Genomic DNA, 16,851 nt, shown 5'->3' on the forward strand with positions numbered 1-16,851 from the left:
TTTGGGGTCCTGGGTACCCAGAGCATCATCTAGAAGGGAGGGGTGCAGGTTTCAGGGGGGTACATCCCTTTGGCCCCACAGAGTCCCCACCCTGGGAGAGGGCTGCCATTGGCAGAGGGCCAGAGGGAGACTGCTTCCCCCAAGCCCAGGCAGGGGTCCCCTTTGCCCAAGTCTGAGGGCTGTACTGCCTTCCATGGCCTCCCACTGCCTCCCAGGACAGTCTGGGGGAGCTAAGGTCCCTCCCGGCTCTCTCTCTCTGCCTGAGTGGTGTTGCCTGCCCCTCTGGTCAAGAGTGAGTCAGTGCTGGGGCCTGACAGGCTGTGTCTGTTCAGGGGTGGGTGGGGTCTCAGCTGCCCCAAGTTTGCCCAGGAGTGGGTGAATCAGTGCTGACCCAGCTCTGCCCTGGCCTGGCAGCCTGTGCATTTGTTAGGAGGATAGCAGATCGGCCCAGTCAGCCTGACGGGAATTGCTGAGACACCAGGCTGGTTTCCTGTCTCCGAGGGTCAGGATGTGACCCTGGGCCCCCTCCCGGAATCCAGGCTCCGGCCTGCCCTTCAGGGACCCAGCGAGATCCAGCCCCTGCCCAGCGGGGCTGTCTGCAGACCTGCCCAGCACACGCACTGAGCGGCACTTCCCCAAGGCTCTCGGCTGCCACCGCCCATCTACCACCCACCCACAGGAAATCTGAGGATTCTGAGGGATGGACGGGAAAGCCACTTCTCTGTGCCAGAGATCGAAGAAGCCGGCCATAGGTCAGGAGGGATCCGGCTGGCTGCTAAAAGCCACCACCCCCACTACCACGTCCAGCCCCATGCCGCTAGGCCTTTGCTGTGCACTGGCTTCTGCCTGGAATGCCCTCTACCCTGCTCTTGGGCTAGACACCAGGGGCCTTTTCCCTAACGCCCCTCCCTCCTCTACCTTCAGTGCTCATCACCCCATCACCTGCGGCCCCCTGAAGCCCCATTTGCTGATCCCACCACTCATACCAGGGCTGCTGATGCCACCTCTGCCTCCCTGGCTCTACCTTCTGTCTGCATCATCAACACAGGCTGGGCACAGAGTGGCACCTGGTGAGGGCTGCGCAATGGGGACTATGAGCTCTAGACCCCACTCTTAGGGGATGCCTGGGGAGGAAGGTGCCTCCCAGGGAAACCACAGGGTCCTCAGTGGTCACAGCAGTAGGGGCTGGCAGCATCATGGGCTCAACCCTCAGAGCAGGGAGACAAGAAGCAGCAGGAGGAGGAAGGCCCAGCTCCATGAGGCTGGACCTCAGCTTGCCCTGCTGAAAATGAATTCACAGCCCTGCCCCATTAATCTTTTTTTTGTTGTTGTTTTGTTTTTGAGACAGGGTCTTGCTCTGTCGCTCAGGCTGGAGTGCAGTGGTGCGAACTCGGCTCACTGCAATCTCCACCTCCCGGGTTCAAACGATTCTCTTGCCTCAGCCTCTCTAATAGCTGGGATTACAGGCACCTGCCACCACGCCTGGCTAATTTTTGTATTTTTAGTAGAGATGCGGTTTCGCCATGTTGGCCAGGCTAGTCTCGAACTCCTGACCTCAAGTGATCTGCCTGCCTCAGCCTCGCAAAGTGCTGGGATTACAGGTGTGAGCCACTGCGCCTGACCTGCCCCATTGATCTTGTAGCAATAACCATTGAGGTTCAAATTATTCAACTGATACGAAGACATTCTGTAAACGGTAACAACCCTGGCAAAATGGGGATGTTCACAGAGGAGAAATGGAACCCAGAGAGAAATAATAATAACAATAACCGTAGCCACCATACGCTGAGCCGTCACTCCAGGCAGGTCCTGCGCTTGGTGTTTTGCTTGCACCGTCCTGCTGGATTCTTACAACACACCTGTGAGGTAGGTGCTGCTAATGGGTCCAGGTTTCCCGTGGGAAAATCAAAGCTCGGAGGTGGCCCAAGGCGATGTGGCTCTCAGAGGCGGAGCCACAGTTCAGCTGGAGGGCTGCCTGGCTCCAGAACCTGTGTTCTCAACCCCTGCATCAAGGTCATACAGCGGCGCACACATTTGTGCACGCATGCGTGCATTCACTCACACGTTCAAGAGTTACTTGGGGCCAGACGCAGTGGCTCATGCCTGTAATCCCAGCACTTTGGGAGGCCGAGGTGGGCGGATTATTTGAGGTCAGGAGTTCAAAACTAGCCTCTCCAACATGGTGAAACCCTGTCTCTACTAAAAATACAAAAATTAGCTGGGCATGGTGGCAGACGCCTGTAATCCCAGCTACAGGAGTCTGAGGCAAAAAACAAACAAACAAAAACAACAAAAAACAAACAAACAGAGTGATTTGGTGTAAGCCAGGCCCCTGGGCCAGGTTCTGCTACTCTGTGTTCTCAGGTGAGCTCCTGAGTCCGAGAAAGGTGTGTCTACCAGCAAGTGGGGAGAAGGACCACCCTCTGCACACCAGATGCTATGCGAGGTGCTGGCCAGGGACAGATCCAGGACTGAACCCTGGGTTTCCTGGACCCCAGATGTCTCTACCACCTCCTCAAATGAACATCCCTCAAAGCCCTGGAGCCTGCAGCCTGGCTCCTTGAATTAAAAGTTGGAAGCTCCCTGGAGCGAGTTCTCTAGAAGAGGCAGAGGCTAACAGGGAGATTTTGTTGTCATGAACTCAAGGATCCTTGGAATATGGCATGAGTTACAGTGGCCCCCTGCCATGCCCCTAAAATCCCTCCAAGAACTGTTATTGCCCACGGGATAAAGATCAAACTTCTTAATATGGCGACAGGCCTTTGCCATCTCCCCTGTCCTGCTGGGGAACCTCTAGCTCCTGCCACCTGATGACCCCAGAGCCTGTTCCCTCTGCCTCCGCATTCACTCTATTCTGTGCTCTTCCACACCACCTCCTTCCTTGGTGAGCTCCTGGACATCCATGATGTTTCTTCCTCCAGGCCCAAGTCTCCTTAGCTTCCAAGATCAGATGAGGTCGGATGTGTTCAGGATGGTGTGGCCGTAACAAGCCATGCCTAATCCCGTAGCAGCTGGAGTGCCCTGGCCCTGTGCCCCGTGAGAATGCACCAGTCCCCTGGATCCTGGCTGGCTATCTACACACCTATCTCCCATAGACCTAGACACCTGCCTAGGGGCCCTCCTCTCACCCTGGCCCAGTATTGAGCAATTAGGGTTGGGGGATCCCAGTCACCCAGAGGAGGCACAGGGACCTGAACATTAAAACAAACAATGCGAACTAACAGAGGCAGTCGTATTTTGAATATCATTACCAAATTTGAAAAAAAAAAATGACAATGCCTATGGAAACCACACAAAGTGTGTTTGGCACTATCTATGATTTGGAAATTATCAAAGCCCACAGTCCTCGTAGAGGGCAGGGCGGTGGGGAGCAGGGTCCCCCGATATTGGTGGTCTGAGCACTTTCTTATCACTGCACAAACGCAAGGCAACTTAACAGTTTTGGGGGCAGATTGGCCATAAGTTTACCCGGAGCTGACACGGCGAAGTCAGTATCGGGACCAAAGGCCACATCAACCAGGTGTAATCTCCAGTCCAACAGGCCAGAAGCCACCTGAACACTGAGATCCACGTGGGGAACCAAGTGGCAGGCTGGCTCTGGCATCCCCAGGGATCTGGTGTGAACTCTGGCCCTGGGCACGTCACTCCATCGCTCTCAGCCAGCCTCAGTTTCCTTCTCCAAGAAGTGGGGATAATAACAGACCCTGGCAGATGAGCCTTGGGAGGCTTAATACATGTGAGATGCTTAATTCCTGGCATAGAGTCGGCCCTAGCACAGTCTCTAGCACATAGCGCTTAACAAAGGTGTTGTTATTATTCAGGACAGACGTATCAGACAAACTGATGGTGGGCTGGGAGTGGGGGTCTCCTGGGGAGAATCGTCTCCAGGCCGGCAGCAGCCTTTGGATCTCTGAGGGTCACAGATATTCAGCAGGGGACATTCCAGGGAGAAAGATCTGGGCTCAACTGAAAAGCACTTCTCTTTTTCTTTTCTTTTTTTTTTTTTTTTTTTGAGACAGGGTCTCACTCTGTCACCCAGGCTGGAGTGCAGTGGTGCAATGTTGGCTCACTGCAACCTCCACCTCCTGGGTTCAAGCGATTCTCCTGCCTCAGCCTCCCAAGTACAGCTGGGATTACAGGCATGCGCCACTATGCCTAGCTAATTTTTGTATTTTTATTTTATTTTTATTTTTTTATTTTTTATTTTTTTGAGACAGAGTCTCACTCTGTCACCAGGCCAGAGTGCAGTGGCACAATCTCAAGCTCACTGCAACCTCCAACTCACTGGTTCAAGCAATTCTCCTGCCTCAGCCTCCCAAGTAGCTGGGATTACAGGCGCTCACCACCACGCCCAACTAATTTTTGTATTTTTAGTAGAGATGGGGTTTCACCATGTTGGCCAGAATGGTCTCGATCTCCTGACCTCGTGATCTACCCGCCTCGGCCTCCTAAAGTGCTGGAATTACAGGCGTGAGCCACTGTGGCTGGCCCAAGAAGCACTTTTCAAAGTCCAAGCTCCCTAGAGAGGAGCTGCATTCTTCTGAGATTCTGTGAGGTCTCCATCATTGGAGGTGCATAAGCAACACTCACCTGGTCCCCCCCACCCATCTGGCTCTTCTCTACTCAGCTCTTCCCACCTGAGTCTTCTGGTGGCACCCAAAAGACTGCCCTGATCCAGACCCTGCCCCTAGAAATGCCACCTCTTATGGGCCCTGTGAGATGCCCACATCACTCTCTTGGCAGGGGGCCTAACGAGGACTCAGCCACTGCCCCAGGGACAGCCACAAGGAAGGCACCCCTCACCCCATCTGCCTTGGAGCTTCCTCTGAGCCCCCACCCGACCCTGCCATGGGACACTCACCGTTGGGAACTCCAGGAAGAGGACATGGACTTCAAGGATGGCATTGGGGGCCTGAGCCACGCAGCCCTTCGAGACCTGGCTAGTGGTATATGTCACCTCGCCCCTCTCGGGGCCCACAGGCTGAAGGTCACAATGGACTGTTTCTGCAAGACCTGTTGGAGAAACATCCGGAAAGAGGCCAGGTGAGAATAAGGTGATGACAATGACTCCTACTTTCCAAACGTCTCCTAGGGACTTGACATGAGCTAACGGCTTTCCTGCATCATCACAGCCACCTTATGAGGTGGATATCATTATATTCGTTCCATGGATTAAAAAAAACCAAGGCTAGGAGAGGAAACGTCTCCTGCCCAAGGTCACAGCGCTACTACGTATAGGGTCGATGAATAGAAGGACACCCAGCTAAATTTAAATTTCAGATAAACAATGAGTGCATTTTTTTAAGTATTAGTATATTGCAAATATTGCATGGAACGTACTTATACTAAATTTTCATTGTTTATCTGAAATTCGGATTTCACTGGGCCCCATGTATATATGTGTGTGTGTATATATACATACACACACATATACATAGATCTACATATATACATACATATATACATATATAGATATACATATATACACCCACACATCCACATACATATATATATATATATATATTTTTTTTTTTTTTTTTTTTTTTTTTTTTTTTTGAGATGGAGTTTTGCTCTTCTTGCCCAGGCTGGAGTGCAATGGTGTGATCTTGGCTCACCGCAACCTCCGCCTCCTGGGTTCAAATGATTCTCCTGCCTCAGCCTCCCAAGTAGCTGGGATTATAGGCATGCACCACCACACCCAGCTAATTTTGTATTTTTAGTAGCGATGGGGTTTCTCCATGTTGCTCAGGTTGGTCTCGAACTCCTGGCCTCAGGTGATCTGCCCACTTCGGCCTCCCAAAGTGCTGGGATTACAGGCGTGAGCCACCGTGCCCGGCCAGCCTCCTATATTTTTATTTTTTATTTATTTTTAAAAATTATTTTTTATTATTTATTTTATTTTATTTTTTTGAGACGGAGTTTTGCTCTTGTTGCCCAGGCTGGAGTGCAACAGTGTGATCTCGACTTACTGCAACCTCTGCCTCCTGGGTTCAAGTGATTCTCCTGCCTCAGCCTCCCGAGCAGCTAGGATTACAGGCATGCACCACCATGCCTGGCTAATTTTTTGTATTTTTAGTAAAGATGGGGCTTCTCCATGTTGGTCAGGCTCGTCTTGAACTCCCAACCTCAGGTGATCCGCCTGCCTTGGCCTCCCAAAGTGCTAGGATTACAGGCATGAGCCACTGCGCCTGGCCTATTTTTTATTTTTTTGAGACAGACTCTGCTCTGTTGCTCAGGCTGGAGTGCAGTGGCAAAATCATAGCTCACTGCAGCCTCAGCCTCAACCTCCCAGGCTCAAGTGATCCTCCCACCTCGGCCTCCTGAGTAGCTGGAACTATAGGCATGCACCACCACATCCAGCTAATTTTTGCATTTTTATAGAGATGAGGTTTCACCATGTTGCTCAAGCTGGTATTGAACTCCTGGACTCAAGAGATCCTCCCACCTCGGCCTCCCAAAGTGTTGGGATTACAGGCATGAGCCACCACACCCGGCTGATTTTCATTTGATGTATCTGGCAACCCTAACTTCATGGCAGGGCCTAGGTGTGAACCCAAGTCTCCCTCCAGGTAAGGCAGGAGCTGAGCTCAGGAGACAAAGCTTCCCCTCTCTTGCCTCAAGGTGGTGGGAGGAATGGTCTGAAGGGGTTGAGAGTTCCCTAGCCCCAAGGGACAGGGCGAGCCGAGAAGGCGGCCCAGGTTTGGAGGCTGCCAGAGCAGACCGCAGAGCCCGGAAACACAGGTCCTGAGGGAAAGGAATGGAATTTCACCCTGACCCAGCAGGGTCGGAAAAGGAAATGAGGCTCCTACACCTCGTCCTGAGGAATGTGCCGGGGGAAGGGGGCTCCGGAGGAGGGAAGGAGGACAGAAGGGGAGACTGTTTGGAAGTTTGTGTCTCCATCTTGTCGCGCTCACTTCCTGTTTTCTTGGAGATCAAAGATGGGCGCGGAGAGACTGGCTTCATGTCCAGCCAAGGCCGGCTCAGAGGAGGGGGCAGGGAGGCTTCTTCTGAACCCTGGGCTGTCTGGAGCCTCACCGGCCTCCTTCCTCACCTTCCCACAGCACGTTGGGCTCTGGGCCCCAGAAGTCAGCAAAGGAAGTGAGATGGTCACCCCTTGCCATGGCAACGCCATTCCCAGCTCTGTCTTGGGAAGGAGAAGATCTGGATGAGGACTTCTGGCTGCCACGGGGGCCCAGGCCTTATATGTCGTCTCTCTGACCCTATCCTACATGTCCCAGGGACTCTGGAGTGCCTGGACATAGTGGCATTTTGGTTAAAAGCAAGCTCCCTGGAGCCAGGCTGACCTGGTTTGCCTCTCAGGCCCAATGCTTACCAGCTATGTGGCTCTGGTGAATGATTTCACCTCTTGGGGCTTCAATACCTGGTCTATAAAATGACAACAGAGCCCACATGATCCACAGAGGTGGCTGGGAGGACTCCATGAGACTGGGCACATGGCAATTCTTTCTTAAATTTCTATTTGTTTATTTTTCAGACAAGGTTGCCCTCTGTCTCCTGGGCTGGAGTGCAGTGGTGTGATAACAGCTCACTGCAGCCTTGAGCTGCTGGGTTCAAGCGATCCTCCTGCCTCAGCCTCCCAAGTAGTTGGGACTACAGTTGTGCGCCACCACGCCTGGCTAATTTTTTAAATTTTCAGTAGAGACTGGGTCTCACTATGTTGCTCAGGCTGGTCTCAAACTCCTGAGCTCAAGCAGTCCTCCCGCCTCAGCCTCCCAAAGTGCTAGGATTACAGGTGTGAGCCACCATGAGTGAGCCAGCATGCCTGGCCGGCAGCTTTCTCTTAATTACAATTATTTGACTGACTTCAGTCACTGTAGAATTGACTGTTCTAAGGGGTGGGGTGAAGTGGCGGGATGGGGTGGCCTCCAGGTGACGGTCCTCTGGGATGGAGAGGTCACTGGGATCTCCCTCACCCCAACAAAATCAAGGGCTGGTGCCATCTCCTGTCTCCAGTCCCTCTGACCCACCAGCCCCCATGTTCTCCCCACCCTCTCCTTTCCTCATCGGTGAGCGCAGGTTCCTTGGCTGTTACCTAGCTTAAGCCCCTCCTACTCAGATGGGGAGACTGAGGTCTGGAGGGACGGGACAGGTCAAAGTCTCACAGCACATGGTTGACCAGGCCGGGCCTCGGACCCGCGTCTCCCAACATGACCCAGTGTCTGGCCTGCAGATTATCGCAGCGCCTCCCTCCTTCCCTTTGGGACTTTCCCTGCCCCCTCCCCAGACTTCCAGGAACCCCAGTTCCTCCCGGATTGCTGGGGCCGCCTGGGGCCGCCTCCTCCATGCCGTCAGCCAGCGGGAGAGGCCACAAGCCTGGCCATTATGTAATGATCAGATAACAGGCCTGGCGGGGAGATCAGATAAGAGGTCCATTTATTTTGGGGCCTTTTCGAATCCTGGCCGCCCCCACCCCGCAGACGAGAATGGGGAGACAGGAGGGAGTGTGACGCCTGGGCCTGTCTCCCGGAGCCTGAGGCGGGCCCAGACCAAGTTGAAAACAATCCCCTGGCACCAAGGGAAACGCCAGGGCCTCCCGGGACTGGGTCAGAGGAGGAGCCGCTGGGGGCCTGGGTGACTGGAACCCCAAGTGAGAGACCCAGAAGCCACCTCCCACCACTGTCCCCTCTCCACCCTCGCCACCCATGTGCACACAGCACCTCCCAGATTTCCAGAGGGCTACCTTCAGCACCTTGGAGGATGATCAAGAAAAACAGCTCTGGAGCCAGATGGCCTGGATCAAATCCCAGCTCTGCCTCTTAAAATGCTGGTCACCTTGAGCAGAAGCCTAACCTCTCTGAGCCTCAGTTTCCCCATTTGCAGACCACCAATAATCACTGCAGATGCTCCCATCATGCTTACTGGGAGCCTAGGCAGCTTTACACGAGTGAACTCATTTGATCCTCACAGCAGCCTTGTGAGGTGGGCGGCGCTATTACACCCATGCACACTCCAGGAAACTGAAGACCAGGGCGGTTAAAGAAACTGAAGACCAGCTGCCCGAGGTGACCCAGCTACTAAGTGTCACGGCCTGGATTTAAACCCAGACAGTCTGGCTCCAGCAAGCAGCAGGCATTCACAGGCTGAGTGTGTCAGTTTGATGGGGTAACCCCTGTTGAGTGCCTGGTACTAAGTAGGTGCCCCAGACACAGAAGCTGTGAATATTATTTCATCATACTAGGACAGATACTTTTCTTCCCGCTGCCACCCCCCCTTTTCTTTTCTGAGATAGAGTCTCACTCTGTCACCCAGGCCAGAGTACAGTGTCTCGATCTCGGCTCACTATAACCTCCCCGTCCCAGGTTCAAGCGATTCTCATGCCTCAGCCTCCTGAGTAACTACAAGTGGACCACCACACTCAGCTAATTTTTGTATTTTTTGTAGAGACGGGGTTTCGCCGTATTGCGCAGGCTGGTCTCAAACTCCTGGGCTCAAGCAATCCACCCATCTCAGCCTCCCAAGGAAGATACGTTTCAACAAGGGTCCTTCTTGCTGCAATGCCTGCCCCGTCTTGTTCAGTACCCCCGGGCCACTCTTTACCCTTTTCAGGCCCAATTACAGCCTCACAGGTTTCCCAGCATCCAGCCCAGCCACTGCCCCCAGCCACCAGGAGGTCTCAGCATGCCTTGGCCCCGGGCTCCCCCCTGGTTCTACGATGCCTGCAGGGTCAAGTTCCTGCACTGCAGCCTACAGTAGAGGTGAAAAGCACAGCGATTTGACAGATGCCAAAGGTTCAGGTCCTGATTCTTCCACCTGCCAGCTGCCTTTCCATCCTCAGTGTTCTCATCTGTAACATGGGGATGAGGGTCATCATAACAGCTTCCCATGGAGTCGGCAAGCAGGCCAGTAAATTACACCTGCACAGCGCTAGGCCGGCTCCTGCTAAGTGGGGGTTGCTCAGGAACTGGTGACTACTATCACAATTATTTATGCCCAGTCAGTGGGGATATGTGGGCTCTTCCCCTAAACACACCTCGCTCCTGCCTCTGCCATGCCCTTTCCCAGACCAACACTCATCCTTTGTTTGACCACCTGGCCTTTTTTTTTTAATTTTGGAGAGTCGGGGTCTTGCTCTGTTTCCCAGGCTGGAGTGCAGTGGTGCAATCATAGCTCACTGCAACCTCCACCTCCTGGCCTCAAGCAATCCTCTGCCTCAGCCTCCCGAGCAGCTACAGGTATGAGTCATTATGCCCAACTAAATTTTAAAAATATTTGTGGAGAAAGAGTCTTGCTATGTTGCCCAGGCTGGTCTTGAATGCCTGGCCGCAAGTGATCCTCCCACCTTAGCCTCCCAAAACGTTGGGATTACAGGCATGAGCCACCATGCCCAGCCCCTAGCAAACTTCTATTCATCCTTCAAAACCCTGTCCTGAAAATCTCACTGAAGCCAGTCCCTCCTTTCTTAGGTGCATCCGTCCTTGGGTGTCCTTGGAGAACCAGACCATACATGCCCAGGTGTGCTGTTTTGATTTGTCAGTGTGTCTGCACTCCCAGCAGACAGTGAGTTTTTCCAGGACAAGGAGAGTCCACAGCATTCCATGTCCCAATCAGTTAGTCCAGGGCTCAGAGCAAACATCCACTTCCACTGGATACAGTGAGTTCTAGATTTCTCTTCAAAGAATCAGTATGTCAGTATGTTCAGTTCTTTGTCCTCCATTTTAAAGTTTAACTTCCTCATGGTTTCAGTAAACAACCTTTTCCACCAGTTTTAATCAGTAGTTCACATCTGTTCCCCTGGTCACCTGCTCCATCCTGACTCATCCTGGTCATGTGCTTTGACCTCACAAACCCCTGGTCACCTGCTTTGACCTAAGTCACCTTTAGTTACCTGTTCCTAACCATCCTTCCCGCCAAACTACTCACCCCGCCACTCTGGCTCATACCCCTGCTCTCTCTAAAATAGCTAACTGGAATTAGCTTAGACTGTGCGGTCCAACACTAGCCCGTAGGGGAACGACGTAGCAGTAGGGGCTACCTGCGTCAGGAGTAAGAACCCCTTCCCCTCCCTTGTTCAGATGTGCTCTCGCCATTACTCCATTCTTGAATCGCACCCTTCTGTAGAAGTAAAAATTGCCTTGCTGAGAAGATTAAATTTATGTTCAAGTGCTATTTCTTTGCGGCACTGAGGAACAAGCATTTTGTTTCTAACACCACAAACATCCATTTGTGGAACTGGCTGGTCAGGGCTGCCTCTGACCTGCTGGGTGACCCACATCAAGTCCCCCCACCATTCTGGGACTCTGTTTCCCTATGGCTAGTGGGTGGGGAAGAGCGGGGGTGGATAGGACATATTCTAAGTTCTACTAGGGGTCTGACAGTCTGAGATTTCACCTAAGGATGAAGGCAGGAGGAAGACAGAGCAGGGCATAGATGGGGCTGCTGAAGGTAAAGGCAGGGTCCCAGGGGTTGTACCCCGGATGGGAGGGCCGTTATGGGGACCAGAGAAAAGGCTGAGTGCCTGCGGGGAGAAGATCAGGCAAGAGGAAGATCCCCATCCTCTCCACTGTGGCAGCACACTGCAGTGCTTAGGCCCAGGGCTTGAGCCCCAGTGGCTCATTTCAGGGCAGTGTTACTTGGGTAAATTTCTTCACCTGACTGAGTTATACGAGTACCTCAGTCTCCCCATCTGTCAAATGGGGGCAGAAAGAGTATCTCCTTTGTAGGGCTTTTGCAAGCGTTAAGTCTGACAGTACACATACCACGCTTAGAGCAGCGTCTAGCATACTGTAAGTGCTGAATAAATGTCAGTTGTTATATTATCTCTTTATCCCACCCCCACTCCTGCCACAGGGGTTGAAGCCAGCTGAACCCTGGCTGAGGGTCCCTTCAGCCTCCAAGGCTGGTGCCCCAAAGCCTGGGCTGGAACTAGGAAGCAGGGTCCCAGAGCCAAGGGTAAACAGTTCTTTAGGTCTCCAGCATTCAGGTCACAAAAGTTGTGGGGAAAAGAAGCTGAATTTGGAAGCAGACGGCCTGGAGTTGAAATCTGGACCTGTCATTTGTCCCAAGCCTCAATTTTCTCATCTATAAACTGGGGATAGAGGCAAGGAGGAGCTGGCATTATGCCTGACATGCTGGGGACAGAGGAGAGGTGGCCGCCTCACTCTTGCCCAGATCCACCTCCAGCCCTGGGGCAAAAGAATGGGTCTGTCGCCCGAGGGCCCAGCACCAACACATCCGTGACCACAAGCAAGTCCCTCTGTCCCTCTGGGTCACGTCTGTCTGGCTGGGGTGAGGGAGAATGCTAATGGTCACGTCCCCCGTGTCTCGGGGAGCCCACCCTCTCCTGGTTCACACGGCTCCTGCTCCAGGCTCTTTTTCCTCCTAGCAAATGGGAACGCAGCCTCTAAGAGACAGGTGTTTGTGGTCTCGCTCTTGCGCCACTGACCCTTCTCCAGCAAGTCCCAGACTCCAACACAGACAGCCAGCAGCATGGGGACTTTAAGTCCTCCAGCAAAGGATCCTCCACACTCAGGAACACTCTTCAATCCCAGCCACCCAGCACAGGCCACGAGCCGCTGCAGCCTTGCTGCCGGGACGCAATCCACATGAAATAATCCAAAATACAGGAAAAGGTGCACGTACCAAAACTGTGCATTGTGGTAGTATTTATAACTAGAACAAAGGGGAAACCACCTAAATATTTAACAATAAGCAAACGGTGACAAGTTGATGGGACAGAATATTCCAGAAGTGCAAGAGGATGGTCATGGAGTCCACAGGACAACATGGAGACCTGGTTCGAAAGAAATAGACAAAAGACTCCCAAAATGTGGACCCATCTGGATTAAAAGTAGCTTAAAAAGTTAGAAAAAAAAACTAGTAAGCCATCTACCACCATACTAACGGTACCTGTATCAATAAAGGAGTTCCGAGGTGATTTTTTCCCTTTTCTCTATTTTTTTTGAGGGGCAAGCTGAGGCAGCTATATGGTTAATTTTAATTGCTTTAAAAAAATCTCTACATGCTTGTTCTTTTTTTTTCTTTTTTGATACAAAGTGTTGCTCTGTCACCTAGGCTGGAGTGCGGTGGCTTGATCTCGGCTCATCACAACCTCCACCTCCCAGGGTCAAGCGATTCTCCTGCCTCAGCCTCCCAAGTAGCTGGGATTACAGGCGCCCACCACTACGCCTGGCTAATTTTTGTATTTTTAGTAGAGACAAGGTTTTGCCATGTTGGTCAGGCTGGTCATGAACTCCTGACCTCAGGTGATCCACCCGCCTCAGCCTCCCTCCCAAAGTGCTGGGATTAGAGGCGTGAGCCACTGCACCCGGCCTGCTTGTCCCTAAAACAAAAGAAAACAAAAAAACCCAACATGACAGGAAAGTGTGTCTGAGAAAGTCAAAGTCCCAGCCAGGCATGGTGGCTCACACCTGTAATCCCAGCACTTTGGGAGGCTGAGGCAGGCGTATCACGAGGTCAAGAGTTCGAGGCCAGCCTGGCCAACATGGTGAAACCCCGTCTCTACTAAAAATACAAAAATTAGGCGGGTGTGGGGCCGGCGCCTGTAGTCCCAGCTACTCGAGAGGATGAGGCAGGAGAACTGCTTGAACCCGGGAGACGGAGGTTGCAGCGAGCCTAGATTGTGCCATTGCACTGCAGCCTGGGTGACAAGAGCAAGACTGTCTCAAAAAAATTTAAAAAAGAAAGTGAAAGTCCCACAGAGAAAACCCCAGACCAGAGAACAGTAATAGTGGGTTAAATAGAAAACTCTATTCCAGAATTTTCTCTGTGCATATTGTACATTATTACTATTTTATTGTTGCCAAAATGGAATTATTGTTGTTTGGGCACCTAACAGTGTGTCCCTGACATCCGTCCATGGCAGTGTTCATATGACTCTGCCTTCTTGGTGCCTGCTGCATGACATTCCGTCGTGTGGTAATTTATTAACAGTCTTTGCTCATGGACACTTAGATGATTTCCAGTTATCGGGTTTTTGTTACAGGTACCCACGGACCACGCATCTTTACAGAGTTGGACGAATAACTTTAGAAGGCTGACTACTGAAGGCTGATTTGTGAGGGTATCAAGTCACATGCAAGGTACAGTTTTAGGAGATTCTTACAAGTGGTGCCCCCAAATTCTAGACCCATTTCTAGGAGGTCAGGGTCACTCCGACCCCTACCCCCAGCTGGCTTCCAGGCCCTGGCCCCAGGCTCCCCTCTGCCTTCCATGGGCCTCAGCTTCCCAGACCATAAATGAGTTGGGTTGATGGTCTGTTGTACCTTTGAGCCTGTGACTCCTGGTGCACTGGGACCAGCTCCTACCTGCTCACAGGAACAGACGGATACGTTTCCAGGAGTTTTTCCAACTGGCTGTTACATAGCTATTACTATATATTTTTAAAAGGTCATGAATGTCCAAACTCATTTCTTTCTAATCGTTTTACACCCCTGACTGTCATCTCTGCTCTCGGTGTGATCTGCGCCTGCAGAGACTCTGGAGAACCAACCGCCAGGTGCTACCGGGCACTGATTCCCAGCTCCAAACTTGGTGAGTTGGTGGCTTGAAGTCAGCCGGGTGGGAGTACTTACGCTGTGAAAATCCACAAACGCTACAAATTGAGCTCCCCACCCCGTTGTTAATTATTCAGCAGCATATCACTGCCTTTGATCCTTTAAAACCAGGCCCTAAATGTCTGCATGGACCTTTCTCTAACGACCAAGAGGAAGAGAGTGTTACTGCAGCGACAAATACGAGAGAGGGAGATCTTGGAGCTCAGGTAGGGGCTCCGTCTTAGCCATGTGAACTTGGCAGGTTAGAGCCTCCCTTTTCTCTTCTGTAAAATGGGGATGATGATGGCAGCCATCTTGCAGGGTCGTTGTGAGCCGCATTAAGAGGGTTCGCCCTATCACACCTTACTAGGAGCAAACATTTAGGGAGCCGCAGGCCGGGAGTCAAATCCCTGCTAAGTCACTTAATATGTCTGAGACTCAGTTTCCTGTCAATCAGGTGGTGGGCAGAGCTTTAGAGACCCAGAATCAGGGACTCTAAAATGCCATCAGGTGGGGAGGTGGGGAGAAGTTGGCTGCCCCACCGCTGTTTTCCTTCCCCTTCCTCCCCACACTCTCAGCTCATTTCTGCCCCTCTTCCCCCAAATCTGTCAGGAAGCCCCTGGATGCACAGGTGGGTCAAAGGATGTCCACAGGACCGGCCAGCGGCTTGAGGTGGCCGAGGGATAGGGAGTGGGACATGGGGCTGGGGGTCCCTTGCTCCTCACCGCCCCTCCTCTGGTCAGTTTCAGAAAGCAGCAGAGGCCATGACCCCTTGGAAGAGCCCCCAGGCCAAGGAGCCCCACAGAACCCCTAACCTGGCCTGCACCCACTCCTGCACCCTTTCTGGGGATCAGGGAGGTAGGAGGGAGGCAGGGCAGGGCCCTGCAGCCTTGGCCTGTTCAAAGGGTTTGAGGAGCTGCCCAAAGGCCCTGGGGAAGGTGAGCTGGAGGAACTTAAAGCTAAAAATAAAACAACACAGAAGTGGCCAGTCTGCCAGAGCCCTCTCTGCAATGATCCCTCACCACCCACCTCCTCAGCAGCTCTGAGAGGGAAGTCTGTTCTCTTCCCCACTTCGCTCAGAGGCCCGAAGGCAGTCCCCCAGGATCACACCACAAGGAAGTGCCTATGTGAGATTTGAACCCAGAGACGGTGCTCAGAGCCCAGGCTGTGGGCCCTCCTTCCCATCCATTCCTCATGGGGAAACTCAAGGCCCAGAGAGGCCAGGAAACTCTCCCGTCGCTGCACAGCATTCTGGGACCTAGGCTTCCCGGGGAGTAATGGAACGCAGCTGGGTGAGCAGACGCCAGAGACCAGGGTTAAAGTGAAAGAGTCAGCCCAGTTTGCCCGAGGCTTTCTTTCAACACTGAAAGTCCTGCATAACCATTTAGTTCCAGCAAACTGGGAGGGTTGGTGACCCTCCAGAGCCCCAAGGATGGCTCTGCTGGGCGTGAGCTCAGGATACAGGAAGGAGGCCGGGAATACTTGGGGCCTGGTCCGTGCACCGGAGGCCGAGTCTCCCCACCCTGGGTCCCTGGACACCTACTTGTGGGGCTGAGGCTGCAGCTGGCCAGCAGCAGGGCAACAGCCAGAGGGAGCGTGCCGCGGTCCATGCTGTCCACGTGGGGGCCTGTGCGCTGGGCCTTATCCTGTGTCCAGTGGCAGGGCTGCGGGCGGGCACCGGGGCCGGCGTGGGCTCGCACGGGGACCCGAGGGGAGCAGGCGGCCGGAGCGACGGCGTCCCTGCTCCAGCCTTCTGGGGTGGCGGCCGAGGGGTCAGGAGAAGTGGACACAGGGACGCGGGGCTGGGCTGGAGTTGCTGTCCGAAGGATGGGCGGGGAGGGGGTGCTGGGCTCCAATGGATGGCAGTGACAGCAGCAGTCCTGGCCCCAGGGCGCAGATGAAGGCTGTGGTATGACCGGCAGCAGGGAGCTCCTGGCTCATCCAGCCCGGCCGGCCCAGGGAGGCAGGAAATGCGCTTCCTTAGAGAAGGGGCTGGGCCAGGCCGCCTGCCAACCGGGTAGAGGAAGTGCCACGGGCTTTGTCACTGGGTGGGGGGCCCTGGGATGGGGGGAGGCAGTGGGGTGGGAGGGCCCAGGCTCTAGGCTTGTCTCCCCAAGCACCCCACCCTCCCATCCCACCCTCTCCAAGGCTGGTGGGTGGGACGCATCAGGGAGCCCCACAGATGAAAACAATCACCCTAACAGCCCACCGAGGGGAACTTTCAGGGGGCCGGTCTTGGCTAAAGTAGTTCCTGTAGAATTTGTGACCCACCTGAGCTCACTGATCCCATTTTGCAGATGAGGAAACAGAAATCCGATGTGTTGAGATCACTGGTTCA

General features: G+C 53.3%; 1 protein-coding gene, 1 long non-coding RNA gene and 1 pseudogene across 5 annotated transcripts in view, besides 1 other annotated feature; 1 reads left to right on the forward strand and 2 right to left on the reverse strand.

Annotated features, from left to right (window-relative positions):
• The window catches only part of ENG (endoglin), a 39,643-nt gene extending 23,217 nt beyond the window's left edge, over positions 1–16,426 (reverse strand). For 3 of the 4 annotated variants that reach the window (NM_001114753.3, NM_000118.4, NM_001406715.1), the window contains exons 1-2: positions 16,057–16,426; positions 4,862–5,013 (exon numbers count right to left, since the gene is read on the reverse strand). In NM_001114753.3, the coding sequence (NP_001108225.1) occupies positions 4,862–5,013; positions 16,057–16,123 (219 nt within the window). In that variant the 5' untranslated portion in view covers positions 16,124–16,426. Of the gene's footprint in view, positions 1–4,861; positions 5,014–8,710; positions 8,904–16,056 lie in introns of those variants that run through there. The other variant, NM_001278138.2, reaches the window with a different exon arrangement.
• On the reverse strand, positions 2,880–2,990 carry RNA5SP296 (RNA, 5S ribosomal pseudogene 296; annotated as a pseudogene).
• Positions 13,971–14,718, forward strand: LOC124902279 (uncharacterized). The gene is made up of 3 exons (XR_007061800.1): positions 13,971–14,060; positions 14,453–14,511; positions 14,646–14,718. It is a non-coding gene; the product is annotated as an uncharacterized LOC124902279 (long non-coding RNA).
• Positions 15,758–16,674: an enhancer, noted in NCBI's record as "H3K27ac-H3K4me1 hESC enhancer chr9:130616269-130617185 (GRCh37/hg19 assembly coordinates)". NCBI's record gives its function as "activates a minimal SCP1, AML or CMV promoter by ChIP-STARR-seq in naive H9 embryonic stem cells {active_cell/tissue: H9 hESC(naive)}" and the evidence as "EXISTENCE:reporter gene assay evidence [ECO:0000049][PMID:30033119]".

This window comes from Homo sapiens, chromosome 9 (assembly GCF_000001405.40).
Source record: "Homo sapiens chromosome 9, GRCh38.p14 Primary Assembly".
In the NCBI taxonomy this organism is placed as follows: Eukaryota; Metazoa; Chordata; class Mammalia; order Primates; family Hominidae; genus Homo; species Homo sapiens.